This window comes from Homo sapiens, chromosome 2 (genome assembly GCF_000001405.40).
Source record: "Homo sapiens chromosome 2, GRCh38.p14 Primary Assembly".
Taxonomy (NCBI): domain Eukaryota; kingdom Metazoa; phylum Chordata; class Mammalia; order Primates; family Hominidae; genus Homo; species Homo sapiens.
The window spans coordinates 62,489,973-62,507,118 of NC_000002.12; the positions used below are offsets into that span (position 1 = coordinate 62,489,973).

The following is a 17,146-nucleotide window of genomic DNA, read 5'->3' on the forward strand; positions in this document are numbered from 1 at the left end:
AAGACTAGCCTAGCCAACACAGTGAAACCCTGTCTCTAGTAAAAATACAAAAAATTAGCTGGGTGTGGTAGTACTTGCCTGTAATCTCAGCTACTCAGGAGGCTAAGGCACAAGAATCACTTGAACCTGGGAGGCAGAGGTTGCAGTGAGCTGAGATGGTGCCACTGCACTCCAGCCTGGGTGACAGAGCGAGATTCTGTCTCAAAAGAAAGAAAAATAATCAATGAGTTCCTTATTATTTCTGTAGGACCAAAAATTGATTTCAGAAAATTAAAGTCTGATGCATGTGTGTATTATTATTATTATTATTTTGCAAGGTCTCGTTTTGTCACCCAGGCTGGAGTGCGGTGGCACAATCCTGGCTGACCGCAGCCTCAACCACCCAGGCTCAAGAGATCCTCCCACCTAAACCTCCTGAATAGCTAGAACTACCAGCATGAGCCACCATGACTGGTTAATATTTTTATTTTTTGTAGACACAGGGTCTCACTATGTTGCCAGGCTGGTCTCTAACTCCTGAAGTCAGGAGATCCTTTCACTTTGGCCTCCCAAAGTGCTGGGATTACAGGCATGAGCAACAAGTCTGATATCTTTTAAAACCTTATTATAAATACTGAAGTATAAATATGGTAATTTCTCATATTTCGAAGCTTAAAATTTTAAAACACTTTGGATCATAGATTCAGAGGGCTGTGAAGGAGTCAAGAAGTTACAAGTTTGTGGCAATGGTTTTCTTACTTTTTAATTTTAATAAACAGGCCCCTTACTAGAGAAACAGAAAAGTATGTGGGTATCTTAACTGGTATAGAGTGAGCAGAGATTCAAATGGCGTGGTGGCTCACGCCTGTAATCCTGTCACTTTGGGAGGCCAAGATGGGCGGATCACCTGAGGCCAGGAGTTTGAGACCAGCCTGACCCACATGGTGAGACCCTGTCTCTACTAAAAATGCAAAAAAATTAGCTGGGCGCAGTGGTGTGTGCCTGTAATCCCAGCTACTAGGGAGGCTGAGGCAGGAGAATTGCTTGTACCCAGGAGGCGGAGGTTGCAGTGAGCTGAGATGGCGCCACTGCACTCCAGCCTGGGCAACAGAGCCAGACTCCGTCTCAAAAAAAAAAAAAAAAAAAAAAAAAAACCTCTTCAGTGCAGGAACAGTATCTTACTCATCATAGAATCCTGTGCCTGCCACGCAATAGAACCTCAATTAGCTGGGCGTGCTGGAGTGTGCCTGTAGTCCCAGCCACTCAGGAGGCTGAGGCAGGAGGATCACTTGAGCCCGGGAGTTCTGGGGCTGTAGTGCACTATGCTAATCTGGTGTCCACACTAAGTTCGGCATCAATATGTTGACCTTCTGGGAGTGGGAGACCACCAGGTTGCCTAAGGAGAGGTGAACCAGCCCAGGTTGGAAATGGAGCAGGTCAAAAACTCCCATGCTGATCAGCAGTGGGATCACACTGCATGCACTCCAGCCCGGGCAACATAGCGAGACCCTGTCTCTATTTAAAAAACAAACAAACAAACAACAACAACAACAAAAAACCCTCAGTTAATTTGTAGAACTGAGCTGTGTAGGAAAGCTTTGGAATTAGACATGCCTCAATTTGAATCCCAGTTCTGCCAATTACCAGCTAGGTGATCTTGGTTAACTTATTAGAATACTCTGTTTTTCTCATTTTCAAAATGGGAAATGGTATTATAATTATAAAGTTAACATAATATACAAGTGTTATAATACCTTAGAGGAGTAAATAAGATAGCACATGAAAGCACGTAGCATTTCACAAGGACCTACTTCAGCAAATGACAATCTTTTAAATTACTCTACCAAAGGGTTTTCCCATTTAAAAAAATTAATCAAATATACATCTCTTTAACTTTCAGTCAGCTTTGACCAACATGAAATGACTGAGGATAATGCTCTGAGTTAGTGAAATTCCAACCACAGGCAAAAAACCAAAAAAAAAAAAAAACTCCAAAAAACAAAAAACAGACTTTTTAGTTAGCTTGCTAAGCCTTTCTATAGGTAAACGTATTATTAGATTTTTAAAAAACAATGAGAGTAGCTTCTGGACCCTTTTTTGCCACTTTCCTTGGCCCCTAGAAGTCGGAGGGTCCAAGGCTGAGCAATGTTCCTGCTTTGGCTTCTAGATCGGACAGGTCTAAATCAACCTTAATATATCTTTGGAGCATGTGTTTAGAGAGAGGGAGCACTGCAGAGTGAAAAAGCATGATCTTTGGAACCAGACAAGGTTAGGTCTAAATTCTGTCTTCTGTTTACTTGCTGTGTGACCCTGAGCAAGTTCCTTAACTTCTCCTGAGTTTTAGTTTTAGCTTCTGTAAAATGGGAATAAGATCTGCCTTACAGAGTTGTCATGAGAATTGAATGAGATATTGATAAAGTCCCAGCACACTGCCTGGCACATTGCAGGCATCCAATTAAATGGTGGTTGTTATTTGCATGAGTTTTGGGGATCCAGCAAAATTTGAGCATTTATCTTAACGTAAAAGTGGTTATTGGTTTTAAGATTAGGATTCATTTTCATGCCACAAAGATTCAAATATGAGTAAATGTGGCATTTCTATTTTGTAGAAAGTTTATGAAAAAAAGCTGCTATGTATTAAGAACAGGAGGCAGGAGCTCTGAGTTCTAACAACTTGCTTATTCCTTCATCTGTGCATTCAGTCAACATTACTAAGTGCATAAGCACTGTCATATGCACTGGAGATATCATGAATAAGAGTGGTGCCTGTCCCCAAGATGCTCAGTGACTGTAGGACTGTGGGAGGAACAAATATTCAGAATTCCATAGAAGATGTGACAGTTGAGCCAGGCATTAAAAAATAAGTAGAGTTTCACCACATAGATAAGATTACTACTTCAGGCAGACAGAGCAGTTTGGAGGGAAAGTCTGCAGGTAAAACCCAGAATGGTGCATGGGAAGAACTGCAGCTTGAAGGAGTGGGGAAGAGCAAGATGAAGTCAGGCAGGTGGAAAGAGGCCTAATATGCCAGGCTAGGGAGTTTGGGTGTTATCCTGCAGGAAATGAGAGTCCTTCGTTTGTTTGTTTGTTTTGTTTTTGATACAGGGTCTTACTCTTGCCCAGGCTGGAGTGCAGTGGTGTGATCACAGCTCACTGTAGTCTCAACTTCCTGGGCTCAAGCAATCCTTCCACCTCAGCCTCCAGAGTGGCTGGGACTAGGGGCACAAACTATGCCTAGCTATTTTTTTCTATTTTTTGTAGAGACAGGGCATCACTATGTTGCCCAGGCTGGTCTCAAACTCCTGGGCTCAAGCAATCCTCCTGCCTTGGCCTTGCAAAGTGCTAAGATTACAGGCATGAGCCACGATGCCCAGCCTGGAAATGAGAGTCTTAACAAATTTTAAGGAGAGTAGTGTCATGATCAGATTTGGTTTTAGATTTCCTGATAAACACAATCATAGGGCTGGTATGGTAAAGTTGAGGAGACATTACTACAACAAGAAAGCGCACAGTGAGATTGCTATCCTACTTGATCTGGGCATTACATTTCTATTAATATGTGCTTATCGTCTCCTAGGACTACCCAGATGTTTTTCCCTGAAAAACAGCACAGAATTATATACTAGTGAACTTTTTGAAAAGTACATGTTGGAGAAGGGTGTGTGTGCGCATGTGTAAAATGTATTTGGATCTGGCATTTCAGCTTGTTAGGAGATTCTTTTGAAATGTGATTGTATCATCAATCAAATTAGTTCTCCCTCTCAGCTTTCTATCATTTTCAAATGTGGCAACAATGACTTATAATGCTGTTTAAATATAGATAGACCATTCATCGCCTACAGCATGAAGTTCAAACTCTTTATAATAATCTATTATTTAAAAGACTGATAACTTCCGACGCCAGTCTTTTCAGCTCATCTCAACCCATTCTCTTCTACACACCTTATATTTTAATGACACAAAACTACTTTTGGTTCTGTTCAGGCCTTATATTTTTAAATGTCTATATCTTTACCCATGCTGTTCCATCTGTTGAAAGCCTATCCTACCCTCTAGGCAGGATTCATCACCTATTTTCATCTTTTACATAGCTGTATTACAGTCTTATCATAAGGAATTGTGGTTACCTTAAATTTGTCTCCTCTGCTAGATGGCTGGAAGGGCAAGGACTTAATCTTATTTATCTTTTTCGTCCTGGAGTGTCAAAGCATAGTGGATGACATATTGTTGTAGCTAATTAAATTGTTGACTTTACAGAACAAAATCATAGCGTACTAAAAATACAGAGCGTATCTTCTGCTGCTCTGCTTTGTAAAGTACTGAACAATCAACAGTTAAATCTCCAGCCTTCTTTAGCAAGGGCTTATTGACCACTGGGAGCAATAGTTTTTAGGATAGCACAAATTTTGACTCTTAATAAGCTCTCATTCTTTTTAGGAAAACTATTGAAGCAAAGTCCTAAAACTTCTACTTTCTCGAGTGGTCATTTTAGTATTTCTAGGTATTAATGAATCAAGCATTTAAAAATAATTTTTAAATGTGCATATAACTTTAATATCAAATATTTTTCTCTTTTAGGCTATAATATTGAGCAGTGTCTCTAATGTACTTTGAATTAGAATATAAATAACTCAAGATCAGGAACTAAAAACCTTTAAAAATGAATCAATAATACTTTTCTGCCAGCCAAATATAGTGCTATTAGAGTTCTGAAAAATTAAAGACAAAGTCATTCTTGGTTGATTATTGTTTTTAAAAGTCTACATTTTTGGCCGGACGCAGTGGCTCACACCTGTAATCCCAGCACTTGGGGAGGCCGAGGCGGGCAGATCATGAGGTCAGGAGATCGAGACCATCCTGGCTAACACAGTGAAACCCCGTCTCTACTAAACACACACACACACAAAAAGAAAAATTAACCGGGCATGGTGGCAGGTGCCTGTAGTCCCAGCTACCGGGAGGCTGAGGCAAGAGAATGGTGTGAACCTAGGGGGCAGAGCTTGCAGTGAGCCAAGATCGTGCCACTGCACTCCAGCCTGGGTGACAGAGCGAGACTCCGTCTCAAAAAAATAAAAAATAAAAAGTCTACCTTTTTAATGTAGCTGAGTGCTAAAGACTTAGGTCTGTGGAACAATATATACATTGTGATTGTACATCTTACTAGATTAAAAAGCTCTTTTCAGACAAGAATGTTCAGCTGTGGAATATGTTTAGATAATGCATGTTGATAAGATAAATTTCCAAATGTCTTTGGCTTTTCATAGAATATATGTTCCATGCTGTCCTACGATTTGTATCTTGTTTTCAGGTGTTCCAGCCTGTCTTGACTTGGGTTAAGATGATGACACACTGATGCCTAGCCTCACTTTCAGAAAGATGTAAATCTGTCAGAATACATTTAAATGTTGAGGTTAAACTTATATTTAAACACATTTTTCTAGGGCTTGAATATTTTTAAGTGCGTAAACACTGGGGAAAAAAGATTTTTAGGATGATTCTTAGAATGGCCTCATAACTATTTAGTTTTGCTTTTTGATTTAAAACCCCCAAATTAACAGTCTCTTAAAACTAGAATAAAGATATATACCCATAACAAGTTAGTGTTAATTACACTTATAAAATACAGTAGTTCAGTCTCCTGATACATCTTTTCTATGACCAAAATCTAACATATTACATGCTAACCAATTTACAAGGTAAACTCTTCTGTTTGCCGCTTTGTTTTCTGCCTCCATGCCTACTTTGCTATGCAAAAGCTTTATGTCAATTTACTTTTTGAGCCGTTTAAGACCAAACCAAATTATTCCTTCAGCACATTTTAAACAATCCCTTAAAGACCTCTTTTTCTTGGCTATGTTTCCAATCTTGGCTTATCACTATAATATTTCATGCTCCATGCTTCTGAAAAAATTCAATATTCAAGAACAAAGTAATCCAGAGCTTTACTTCATTTCAGTCTTTTTATGTCCTAGGGCTGTCCCAACTCAATGACCCAGTTTTTATTGTGTCACATCTCACTGTCTGTTGCTGACTGCGACCAGCTTGCCTAATCCTTTTCCCGTCCCTTATCAGTTTTCCCTTAATTCAAAAATCTTTTTTTTATTCTTTCCAGTTCTCCTTTCACAGCTTTTAGATTTTTTTTTTCTCTTGAGACTCAGTATTCCTGTGGTAACTACTCAGAAATACAAAGACAAATGGGTAACTAAAGTCCACAAATCTGTCCTTGTCAAAATATTCATTGTACTATTTTTAGAATTGTGCGTGGTGAATAGTAGAAAGTGGATGTTTTAATTTGGCAATATGCCCTTAAAAATGTCCATACTCTAGGACCCAGCAATTTCACTTCCAGGAATCTGGCTTATTAATTAAAAGGAATCATCTGAGATATGGAAAAAGCTATATGCATGAGATGTTCGTTACAATGTTATGTATAAAAGAAAAAGGAAATAACACAAATATCTAATGATAGGAGAGAAGTTAAATAAATTATGGCCCATCTACTTGATGAAATAACACACAATCACTTAAGATGATGATTGTGTAACTATGTAGAAACATAGGTAAATACTTTTAATGTTTTCAGAAAAGCAGGGTGCACAATTATAAGTGCTTATGATCACAACTGTGTTTTTAAAAAACTATTTGCAAAGTAAAAACATCAAAGAAACATGACATTTGCTAATAGTTGTTATTTTAAGATGGTGGAATTGTAGATTTTTCTTTACTCTCAAATCTTGTGATCCTATTCCTTTAGAGTTTTTAAAAACTATAATCTTAATTCAAGTAAAGAATCATTAGGTAGGTTATGTCAAATAAAACTTAGATTATTTCAGATAGAGCTCTATTTAAGTCTAATAATCTAATGGCTGGGTGTGGTGGCTCACGCCTGTAATCCCAGTACCTTAGGAGGCTGAGGCAGAATGATCACTTGAGGCTAGGAGTTCAAGACCTATGATTGTGCCACTGCACTCCAGCCTTCGTGACAGAGCAAGACCCAGTCTCTAAAAGACAACAAAAAAATAATAATCTAATAACTGTGGGTGTGGGGGAGATAAGAAAGGCGGTGAGTATTTCATTGTGTTTACTCTTATAGGTCATCTCTGAAAAGATGAATTAGAAAAAAGACCCTCCTAATATCTGTTTTAAAATACAAATTATCTTTAAAACACTATAGTAGGTTCTATTCAAGTTTATTTTATTGCCACTGACTTTATCCAGGCCAGCTTGTTCTCGCCTAACTTACTTAATCACATTCCTCCTGGTATCTCTGCCTCTGGTCCAAACCTTTCAATCCATTTTTCACATTGTCTTCAAAGAGATCTTTCTGAAACCTAATTCTGATTGTGATACTCCACTGTTTAAACGGTTCAGGGATTCAGAATAGAGTTCTGAAAAATTAAAGACAGAATATATTCAAAGCTTTAGCCAGGCTTGCTAGCACCTTCCAAGTTTCTCTGCCTTATTCTGCACCATTTCTTCTCATGTACCCTTCCCACTAGCCTCAACAAACTAGTTGTAGTAGTTGAAACAGAACTCACAGTCACTATTTTTTGTTCTTAACACTGAACTTAATACCCACTCATTCTTTAAATCTCAAGTGTCACTTTCTTTGGGAAGGCTTTCCAGATTCGTCATTCATTTAGATGTCTCTTCTCTGTAATCCTATAGGGCCCCACCACACTGCTATCACTGATTTGCTTATCTGCCTTTTCTACCAGACAGGGAACTTTTTGCTTGCATAGGCAAGTGGGATTGAGTGCGTATTCATTTAACCTGAATACTGCCTACCCCCCTCAGACAATGTGGAGCACAGTGAATGCTAAATGGTGTTGATGTAGGGTTAATGCGCTAATCCTGGGATACTAAGTGCTAGGAACAAAGAGGGAAGATGCGCTGGAAGCCAAGGGCCTGTTACCTGTCAGGTACTTAGCAGGTAGAAACTCAGTGAAACTCATTCAACACACTTCCCTCATAAAGTTACGCTTTTTTACTTTGTCTTAAGGTTGTACAAATGTTTTACCTCCCACATCATATCCCTGAGAACTAGGAGCATGTCTTGTCTATGAACCTTTGACTACTCCTTACATATACTAGTCATTCAAGTGTATGTTAAAGTAATAAGTTTCAATGTTTTAAAACAATTTTGATTTAGGTCAGACTTGGTGGCTCACGCCTGTAATCCCAGCACTTTGGGAGGCTGAGGCGGGTGGATCACTTCAGGTCAGGAATTCAAAACCAGCCTGGCCAACATGGTGAAACCCTGCCTCTACTAAAAATACAAAAAAATTAGCCAGGAATGGTGGCAGGTGCCTGTAATCCCCGCTACTCTGGATGCTGAGGCAGGAGGATCACTTGAACCCAGGAGGCAGAGGCTGCAGTGAGCCGAGATCACGCCACTGCACTCCAGCCTGGGCAACAGAGCAAAACTCCGTCTCAAGAAAAAAGAAAAAAAAAACAGAAATAAATAAAAATAAAATAATTTTGGCCGGGCGCGGTGGCTCACGCCTGTAATCCCAGCACTTTGGGAGGCCGAGGCGGGCGGATCACGAGGTCAGGAGATCGAGACCATCCCGGCTAAAACGGTGAAACCCCGTCTCTACTAAAAATACAAAAAATTAGCCGGGCGTGGTGGCGGGCGCCTGTAGTCCCAGCTACTTGGGAGGCTGAGGCAGGAGAATGGCGTGAACCCGGGAGGCGGAGCTTGCAGTGAGCCGAGATCCCGCCACTGCACTCCAGCCTGGGCGACAGAGCGAGACTCCGTCTCAAAAATAAAATAAAATAAAATAAAATAAAATAAAATAATTTTGATTTATACAAAAAATATGTAAAGGACAAAATGTTTGTGAAGTTCAACATTTTAATTAAAAAATTTTCAGTACAGTGTTGTAAATCCTTAGAAGGATATAATATAAATTAAGGATGGATAAATATATTCAAATAAAATGAAAGACTGCCTAACCCCCAAATGTGCTGACATGTTAATATCTCCTCTACCTTGATTTTCATATACTTATATAGGGAACCAGGTATATTCCAATAGAAAATATTGGTTCAGCCTAACACAAAAAACCATGGTTTTATTGTTCAGATGAAAAACAAACAAATGACTTGGTCATGGTCTCAATTTACTATCTTTTTTCCCCCACTGTTACTATATCTGCATTTTAAGCAATATGTTTATTACAGCAAAATTACTTGAAATTTTTGATAAATCAATTTTCTCAAACTTTTTACAGTTTAAAAATTTTTTTATGGTTATGACTGACATTTTGTTATTAATCTCTTAATTTTAAAGTTTAAATGTACCAGAAGTTCTGCTATTTAAAATAAAACTCTGGAAACAATCTTGAAATAGAAAAGTCTCCATCATCCCCTAATTTATCTGCTTTGTAGATTTAATTTTATTTTATATTTTCTTATAGAATCACCTACCTAGTCCTATCTGGGAAACAAATGCAAACAAATATGTTTTAGACAACTATTCAAACAGAATTCTATTTTAAATTCCAAATTATTAAGAGTAAAACTGGTGACTACTTTGGCATGAGAAAGATTAATCAGCCACTGCATGGAGGGAGAAATATTTGGCTGAACTTTATATATAATCATAAAGAGCAGAAATAATAAAATTAGCATAGTTTGGTCAGGAAGAATCAAGAATGAGTGGGAAGTAAAGACATTTTTTGAAGTTCAGCCAAACAACAATGAATAAGGCAAAACCTGGGAATCCTAAGATAAGCATGAATTGTAGAAAAAGAAAATTGAAAAGAGCAGTTTTTAATGCAGCTACAACTGTCCCTCAGTAAAATACATTATGAAGGCCCATTTCCCTATAGAAAAAAAGAAAACCTGTAATGAACATATCATATCCATTAAGACAGTCCAACAGTCACTTAAATATAATGTTCAGATACACCCAAGCAACTTTGTTCTTAACCAATTCTCCTAAAATAGATTTCTCCTATTAGCAAGGGAGCATGCTCATTTAGGATCATGAGTATAGTCCCTTTGGCCATCTTAGCTCTCATATGTATTAAGAGGCGCTCTGGTTTCCAAATCAAGCCTCACGTGAATTTAATGGGTATGAAGCAGTTCTTTGGTGAACAAGAACCTAGTAGATGCAATCACAAGTGCTAATTTAAAATGCCTACTACAGTGCCCACTACATAGAAAGTTCTCTAGGATTTGTTTTCCTTCCTTCTCTTGCAACTCTGTAATAAAAAACACAAATCTATAGCCCAAAATAATTGCACAAGACAAGGATGATTTGCTGCTGATACCTTAAATATTTAATAATTTATTGTAAAAGCATTTTGTATACCACCATTACAAATACTGAATATGGTTTTATGAAAGTTGTAATTTTATAACAAAAATATTTCCTAAATACCAAGGCAATCCACCTGTTTTCTTCTTCATCTCAGTATAACAGCTAATATTAGGGTTAGAATTTAACCCTAGCAGACATGAAAATTTGGTCTCTTGTTTTATTTTTTATTTATTTATTTTTTTGAGATGGAGTCTTGCTCTGTCACCCAGGATGGAGTACAGTGGCTTGATCTCGGCTCACTGCAAGCTCTGCCTCCTGGGTTCACACCATTCTCCTGCCTCAGCCTCCCAAGTAGCTGGGACTACAGGTGCCTGCAACCACGCCTAGCTAATTTTTTTTTTTTTTGTATTTTTAGTAGAGGCTGGGTTTCACCGTGTTAGCCAGGATGGTCTCGATCTTCTGACCTCATGATCTGCCCACCTCGGCCTCCCAAAGTGCTGGGATTACAGGCGTGAGCCACCACACCCAGCCGGTCTCTTGGTTTACAAATATAGACAAATACATAGGAACACTGACTGGTATTTCCATGTCAAGAAACATGGTCATATGTACAGACAAGACATGGATAACCAACAAGTTTTAAAGAAATGTATACATCTCTAGTTAAAGATTCTAACCAGAAATGCTACGAGAGAGCTGGCAAATGACAACCACCAATACATAGATTTCTACACTCCTGAAAAAGACAACAACATCAAAAAAAATTAAGAAATTTGGCATCAGGTGGACAACATCTAGGTTTTAGGGTTAATATACTGTTTCATATACTGTACAAAGTTTCATCATTGCCCCCAACCTTGGAATTTCAGAGTGAGAGCATATACAATTCAAAACACTTGCTTTGTCCCTTTTCTCAGAGCTCTGATATTTTCCTAACTCTTACAGTCTCTAGAATGATCTGTCAGATTTTCACTCAACAACACTGGATCAGATCTCTTCTATACATGACCTCATCCTTCTCATGTCTCCTCTGTTTGCAGAGAGCCGGTCAAAGTCTTGGAGGTGGAAACGAACTGCCAACTGATTAACCATTTTCCTTAAGGTAAGAAATGCTGCAACAACTTGGAAAGCAAGGAAGAGAGTGAAGATGATATGTATCGCTTTTTCCAAGGGCAGATTTGTTAGGCCTTCATTAAAGAGCAAGAAAAGAATTAAAGGTAACTGCAATAGAAGGCTCAAAAGCCAAAAGCCAGCCAACTCAGGAACCTGCAATGACACATATCAAGAGTAATAAAAATCAGTAAAATACAGTTTCTGTTTATACAGATAAACAAGTACTTATCACTACCGTGAACCTACATTATGGGCTCTGTGAGTGATTCCAAAGGAGGATGACATGGTCCTTGTCCTCAGAGAACTTACAGTCTAGATGAGAAAACTAATTCATGTAAAACAATCCTAGAATACTACACTTTAGTGAACAATTAAGTGCAATATTTAGAAGTACAGACTAAATGCTACAAGAAATAAGGGAGTGATTAGGGTAGGTGAAAGAAAGACCTCAGGGAGGTAGGCTTTTTAAGTTGTGGAGAAGAAGGAAGAGGCAAAAAGGTAAGTAAGCAAACACGTGAAATTAGCATGATTGGGAATCAGCACATCAGCCTGGAATGGATGGCTGAGTGAGAAAACAGCAAAACCTACAGTAAGACAGGCTGGGTGGGGCCTTATTATGAAGGGCCTAGAAAACCACGGGAATCTTTAGGCATTATCCCTATACTCTGGTAACCACAAATGCTTAGGCAGCATGATGATGCAGAAAACATGGGCCTGGCATAGGAAATGAATTCATAATTTTCCCCCATTTTCTTATTCAGGATCCAAATACACATGTTTAAGTAACCATGTATTTTCAAGACTGATAAGAAGAGGGAAAATATCAATTTTAAGTGTTTACTACATTCATATACTTTACATAAATCATTTCACTTAATCACAACAAACCTGTGAAGTAAATATTATTTTCCTCATTTTATATATGAGGAAACCAGGGCTCAAGAGATTAAGCAAACAGACCACAGTGACAGAAGTGGTAAAGCTGGAGTCAGGCTTTAAATTCAGGCCTGTGCTCTTTCTGCCACACCTCACTGCCTTTTACTTGTTATGAAAACTGATTTCATTTATATCTATCACTGAGAGAAAGGAAAAAAGAGCTTACCTTCTCCTGTAGGTTACCCACGTAGCCCAGATACAACCGGATGGCTTCAATTAAGGTTATTAGGATGATAACAGTGATCACAATGAATTTGTAGTAGTCAGGTAAGATTGAATACTAAAAGAAAAGCCAAAACATGTTTGTAAAATCTCATGTATAGTAACATTGATTTAAGATAGAAAAAATTATTAAGAACTTGAATTTTATTGACACTCTAACAACGTCAGGGCAGCAAAAGTATTAAAGCTTAGATTTACCTTCATGTGAAGCATCATAATGCTGCTCACCCACCACAGTGGGAAATAGTAGGTATTAAAATAAAGTGACATCTGCAGTGCCAAACTGGAGACCATTTCATTTTCTACAGAAGGAACAGAAAAGGAACAAATGATGAATCTTGGGTTTATGCCCTATATATATATATCCTATTCCCTAGAATTAATAACTATAATATTGGCTCAGTAAAACACCAAATTTTATGCCTATTTATAATCATTGACAGTAAAAGGAATATTCATCCTAATACCAGTTAGGTCAAATATTGGCTATTTGGGGGTACGTTTCATATTTTTCAATTATTTTACCATTTTGCCATTACAGTCTTCTGACTTTTTGGCATATACTACTGGTATAGATTTAATGTAGAATATCAACATAAATCCTATTCAACAGATAATTATCATTGCCTCTTTTGTAGAATTCTATGTAAATAGCATATAAAATTAATGCATAAAATAAATAAAAATGAATCTCCCACAGATAAACTAATCTTATACAAAAACGGATTACCAAGGTTATAATTAGACACATCTCTCTTTTCAGCATACCCTAATCTTAGCCATTCTTTAAAGTCCAATTCAGTGTCATCTTTTCCATCAATACTTCCTTCATCAGTTCCCCCACCTCAGCAGAAATACCTTTCCCCTTTAGGTACTTACCACTCTAAACTGTCAATAAGAAGTGCTAGCAAAGAACCACACTCCCCTCCCCAAAAAACAGTCTGGTGTACTGAACAGATCATGGGCTTCAGAGTTCAAGCAAATCCGAGCTCCCCAAACCTCTGTGACCCTGGATGTCAGACTTGACATGAATTATTTAAACTCTTTGAGCTTCTATTTCTTCATCTGTAAAATAGTGAAATTAAAACTTCCTCACAGGCTGTTTGTGAGAATTAGAGCCAATATAAATTATTTCATCCTAGCACTGTGCCTGGCACACTTAGTAGGCACTCAACAAATATTAGTCCTCTTTCCTTCTTCTCTTCTACTTATCTACAGGCTCATTGCAAGCACACACCATGTCCTACCCTAATTTGAGACCCTCATAGAATCTAGCATCTTGCTTTCCACGCAGTGAATATCAAATACACATAAGAATGAATTAATGAAAGTATACTGTCATAAGGACATTACTAGCATAGCCATTTGTGATACATGAGTTCCATTTACCTAAGGTTGATTCCATAACACTTTCTGCTTTTATGTAAGAGAGCAGGGTCCTAGATTAAGAATTTGATTTTTAAAATTGAGCCCTACAAAATACATCCTAAATTTGACTAAATTCTTAAGAGCAGACACATATATTGAAATCAGTTGCTGTACACGTAAGATTTTAAAGGCTCTAAAATAAATGTCTTAAAAACATTATTTTCTCCTTTTCTCCATAGCTGAGTGTTTTTATCTGTCACTTAATTATTTTAAAATATAAGAAATAGTCATGGTCTCTCACAGCAAAATAGTTTCTTTTAGCTCCAAGAATATGCCTGATTATTATGATCTACTTTTGCTTGCAACTGTTTATTAAATTACCACTGATAAAGGAATGAATTCTTAAAATCTGTTAAATCTGAAGACAACTCACCAGCCTAGGATCTTTTCGATAGCAACAGTACAAAGCTGCGGACATGGTAATGACATAAACTTGTTATTACAGTACAAATAATCAAACCTACTTCCAATCCACAAAGAAGAAAATTTGGGAAAGAATAATAAATTGGGCAAGCTGAACATTTCAGTACCTTTGAGAAGAAACTGTAGTCAAATTTTGCAAAGAATGGTTTTCATGTTAGAAGTATTGTGTGTTAACATCTTAAAGGTTATGCTATGTCCATATTTCAGCAGATCAAACTTATAATCATGGAAATGAAAATCAAATTAATATGTAAATGAACCTTAAAAGCGTAAGACATAAACTTACTAAATTTTGCAAAAGTTCAAGTTGAGTTCTGTAAATGGAATTTAAATTAAAACATACAATATAAATCAGGGATAGGTAAACAACTGGCCAGCTGCCTGTTTTTGTACAGTCAATGAGCTAAAAATGTTTTTTCACGTTTAAATGGTTAAAAAAGTAATATTTTTTCCACACGTGAAATCCATATGAAATACAAATTTCAGTGTCCATAAAGTTTTATTGGAACACAGCCCTGCCTATTCAATAACTATTGTCAATGGCTGCCGTGGAGACCATATGGCCTACAAAGTCTAAAATATTTACTATCTGGTCCTTTTCAGAAAACGTCTTTTTACCTTGTATTATCAGACGTTAGTGCTCATTAAGCCTCATCCTTGGAACCAGAAACGTGAAAACCTATTTTTTTCACATTTTTCTCTGTACATCCTAAATCATAAAGGCCTACATTTGGGAAATAGGCAAGTGATCAAGGTGACAAAATGCAGCTTTGGGAACTGCCTTTACTTTTCTCTGTCCCTTTTAAAAATTCTCTAAAACCAAGCAGAGGAAAAGATTGATATTTCCCAGCAGAGTTGAATGATGAAAACCACATGGGTTTGGTTGACAGTGTGTTGTCTACCATCATGATGTAGGAGGAGGAAACTGTTCTGGAGGAAACTGTGTTATCACTTGACATCAAGTTAAAGGACGCAGAAGCATCATGGTATTTTGTTACCTTATGATAAGAGTTACATATAGGGGAGGAGGAGAAGGCAGGGAAGGGGTGAGTTTTGTTGAACGCCCGGCTAGTATGGCACATGCCAGTGGGAGTGGATGGTGGTTTGAAAGGACTCATTAACTTTTTTTTTTAATGTCTTCTACGAGAAAATGGCCTTGCTTAGGAACATACTTGTTCTGCTAGGAAAAGGGAAAAGGCAAATTTGTTCCCTGGGGTGGGGGTGGGGACGGGGGAGGTGGGATTGCTTGGGCTATTCCTCGTCATCCTGGACAGAAAAGCCGGGGCGGGCGCCGCAGAGGCAAAACAACTTGGGCCTTCGCTCTCGCGGCGCGCGGGGGACCAGCCTGTGCAGCAAGGGCGGCTTTTATCTTTTTATTTTTGGGGTTTCTCCGGGACAATGATGGGCCTTGCGCGGCACAGAGATCGGCCCCACGTCAGCTGCCGCGCTTGCAACAAGCTGGCCAGGGAGCACCACGCGGAGACCAGGCCCGGCCGGGGGCGGGAGGCCGCCAGCGCCTCAGCTCCCTGTCCGGCCCGGCCCCTCCTCCAAGGCGCTCTCCCGCACTGCGGAGAACTGGCTGAAGGCGACATCGCCATTTTAGGTACGGGCAAATTCTGGACGCTCCAAAATCCACGCCAAGCCCTCGGCAGGCCACACCCCCTGCACCGGGCCTCGGTCACTCACCCGGACCCTCATTGGACTCTGGACCGGTCCGATTGGAATCACTGAACACGGCCCGGCTGAAGTTTCCCAGCCGCTGGCGCACCGGATCCGGCAGCTCCATGCCTGGGCCTCAGTATCCCTCACCCCCTCAGACACGGGCTAGTCTGCGGGCGCTCCGAGGCTCCGTGGTTCCCACGGCAACCGGGCGGCGCGAGGCCGGCGGGACCCGGGAGCGCGCGGGGCTGCCCGGCTGGGCTGGGTCTCGTCCGGAGCCCGCGCAACCTGGAAGGGACCGGCGCGCTCAGAGCGCGTTCCAGGCCCAGGGAGCCGCGCGCCTCGGCCGTGTACAAAACGGCAGATCCCTTAGTTCTGCTTTGAGCTCGACCATCCTAAAAACAAACCTATACTAAGAAATGAGCTGGGGTTGGACTGCGATACAAGGAGCCCTCACATTTGCCAGTGGAACTGTAAATCGGTACAACCTTTCTGGAGAGAAATAGAGAACGAATGCAGAGCTTAAAGAATGTCTAGAGGTGTAGGGGTGTGTGTGAGAGAGAGAGACATCATGTGACTGATTATTTTTTAATAAGAAAACAGCAATGGGCAACTGATTAAATGTACTGGAGCACATACATTCAATGGAGTATGTTTCAGCTGCTTATAAAATGCTTGCAAAGGATATTGAATGGTATAGTTTAACTTTATGTAAAAATACAGCAGAAATAAAACTAAATGAGAATGAACCTAATTTAGCAAAATTTATGTGTATGAGTGGAGGGGAGGAGAGAGCGTGTGCACACTGGCTTGAAAAAAAGAACTGGAAAAAAGTCCAAAATGTTAACAGTCGTTTTCACTGGATAGTGGGATTGTAGGTGATTCAAAAATTTTTAAACGTCTTATTTTCTAGCTTTCTCTCAAGATATATTACTTAAAAAAAACTAAGTGTAATACACATACAGAAAAATTGTACACCTTTTGTAAGTAATATATATTACTTAAGAAATAAGTGTAATATATATACATAGACTGAAATCTGTATGTGTAATCAGCACCCTGTTCAAGAAACTTTACAATATTCCCAGAAACTCCCCCTTCCTATTTCCTTTCAGT

The 17,146-nt window shown here is 39.0% G+C and overlaps 1 protein-coding gene and 1 pseudogene across 4 annotated transcripts in view, besides 4 other annotated features; one reads left to right on the forward strand and one right to left on the reverse strand.

The window, feature by feature from the left end:
• Window positions 1-16,223, reverse strand: part of TMEM17 (transmembrane protein 17) — a 52,665-nt gene extending 36,442 nt beyond the window's left edge. For 3 of the 4 annotated variants that reach the window (XM_011532694.3, XM_024452749.2, XM_011532693.3), the window contains exons 1-3: window positions 16,058-16,223; window positions 12,719-12,822; window positions 12,465-12,578 (exon numbers count right to left, since the gene is read on the reverse strand). In XM_011532694.3, the coding sequence (XP_011530996.1) occupies window positions 12,465-12,578; window positions 12,719-12,822; window positions 16,058-16,157 (318 nt within the window). In that variant the 5' untranslated portion in view covers window positions 16,158-16,223. Of the gene's footprint in view, window positions 1-10,245; window positions 11,516-12,464; window positions 12,579-12,718; window positions 12,823-16,057 lie in introns of those variants that run through there. The other variant, NM_198276.3, reaches the window with a different exon arrangement.
• On the forward strand, window positions 1,206-1,496 carry RN7SL18P (RNA, 7SL, cytoplasmic 18, pseudogene; annotated as a pseudogene).
• Window positions 11,110-12,309: an enhancer, noted in NCBI's record as "MED14-independent group 3 enhancer chr2:62728217-62729416 (GRCh37/hg19 assembly coordinates)". NCBI's record gives its function as "activates an origin of replication core promoter dependent on BRD2, BRD4, P300/CBP and CDK7 cofactors, and independent of MED14, by STARR-seq in HCT116 cells {active_cell/tissue: HCT116}" and the evidence as "EXISTENCE:reporter gene assay evidence [ECO:0000049][PMID:35650434]".
• Window positions 15,122-15,416: a silencer, noted in NCBI's record as "tiled region #12243; K562 Repressive DNase matched - State 5:Enh". NCBI's record gives its function as "represses a minimal TATA promoter and a strong SV40 promoter by Sharpr-MPRA in K562 cells {active_cell/tissue: K562}" and the evidence as "EXISTENCE:reporter gene assay evidence [ECO:0000049][PMID:27701403]".
• Window positions 15,754-15,923: a silencer, noted in NCBI's record as "silent region_11538". NCBI's record gives its function as "represses an Ori minimal core promoter by ATAC-STARR-seq in GM12878 lymphoblastoid cells {active_cell/tissue: GM12878}" and the evidence as "EXISTENCE:reporter gene assay evidence [ECO:0000049][PMID:35858748]".
• Window positions 16,134-16,403: a silencer, noted in NCBI's record as "silent region_11539". NCBI's record gives its function as "represses an Ori minimal core promoter by ATAC-STARR-seq in GM12878 lymphoblastoid cells {active_cell/tissue: GM12878}" and the evidence as "EXISTENCE:reporter gene assay evidence [ECO:0000049][PMID:35858748]".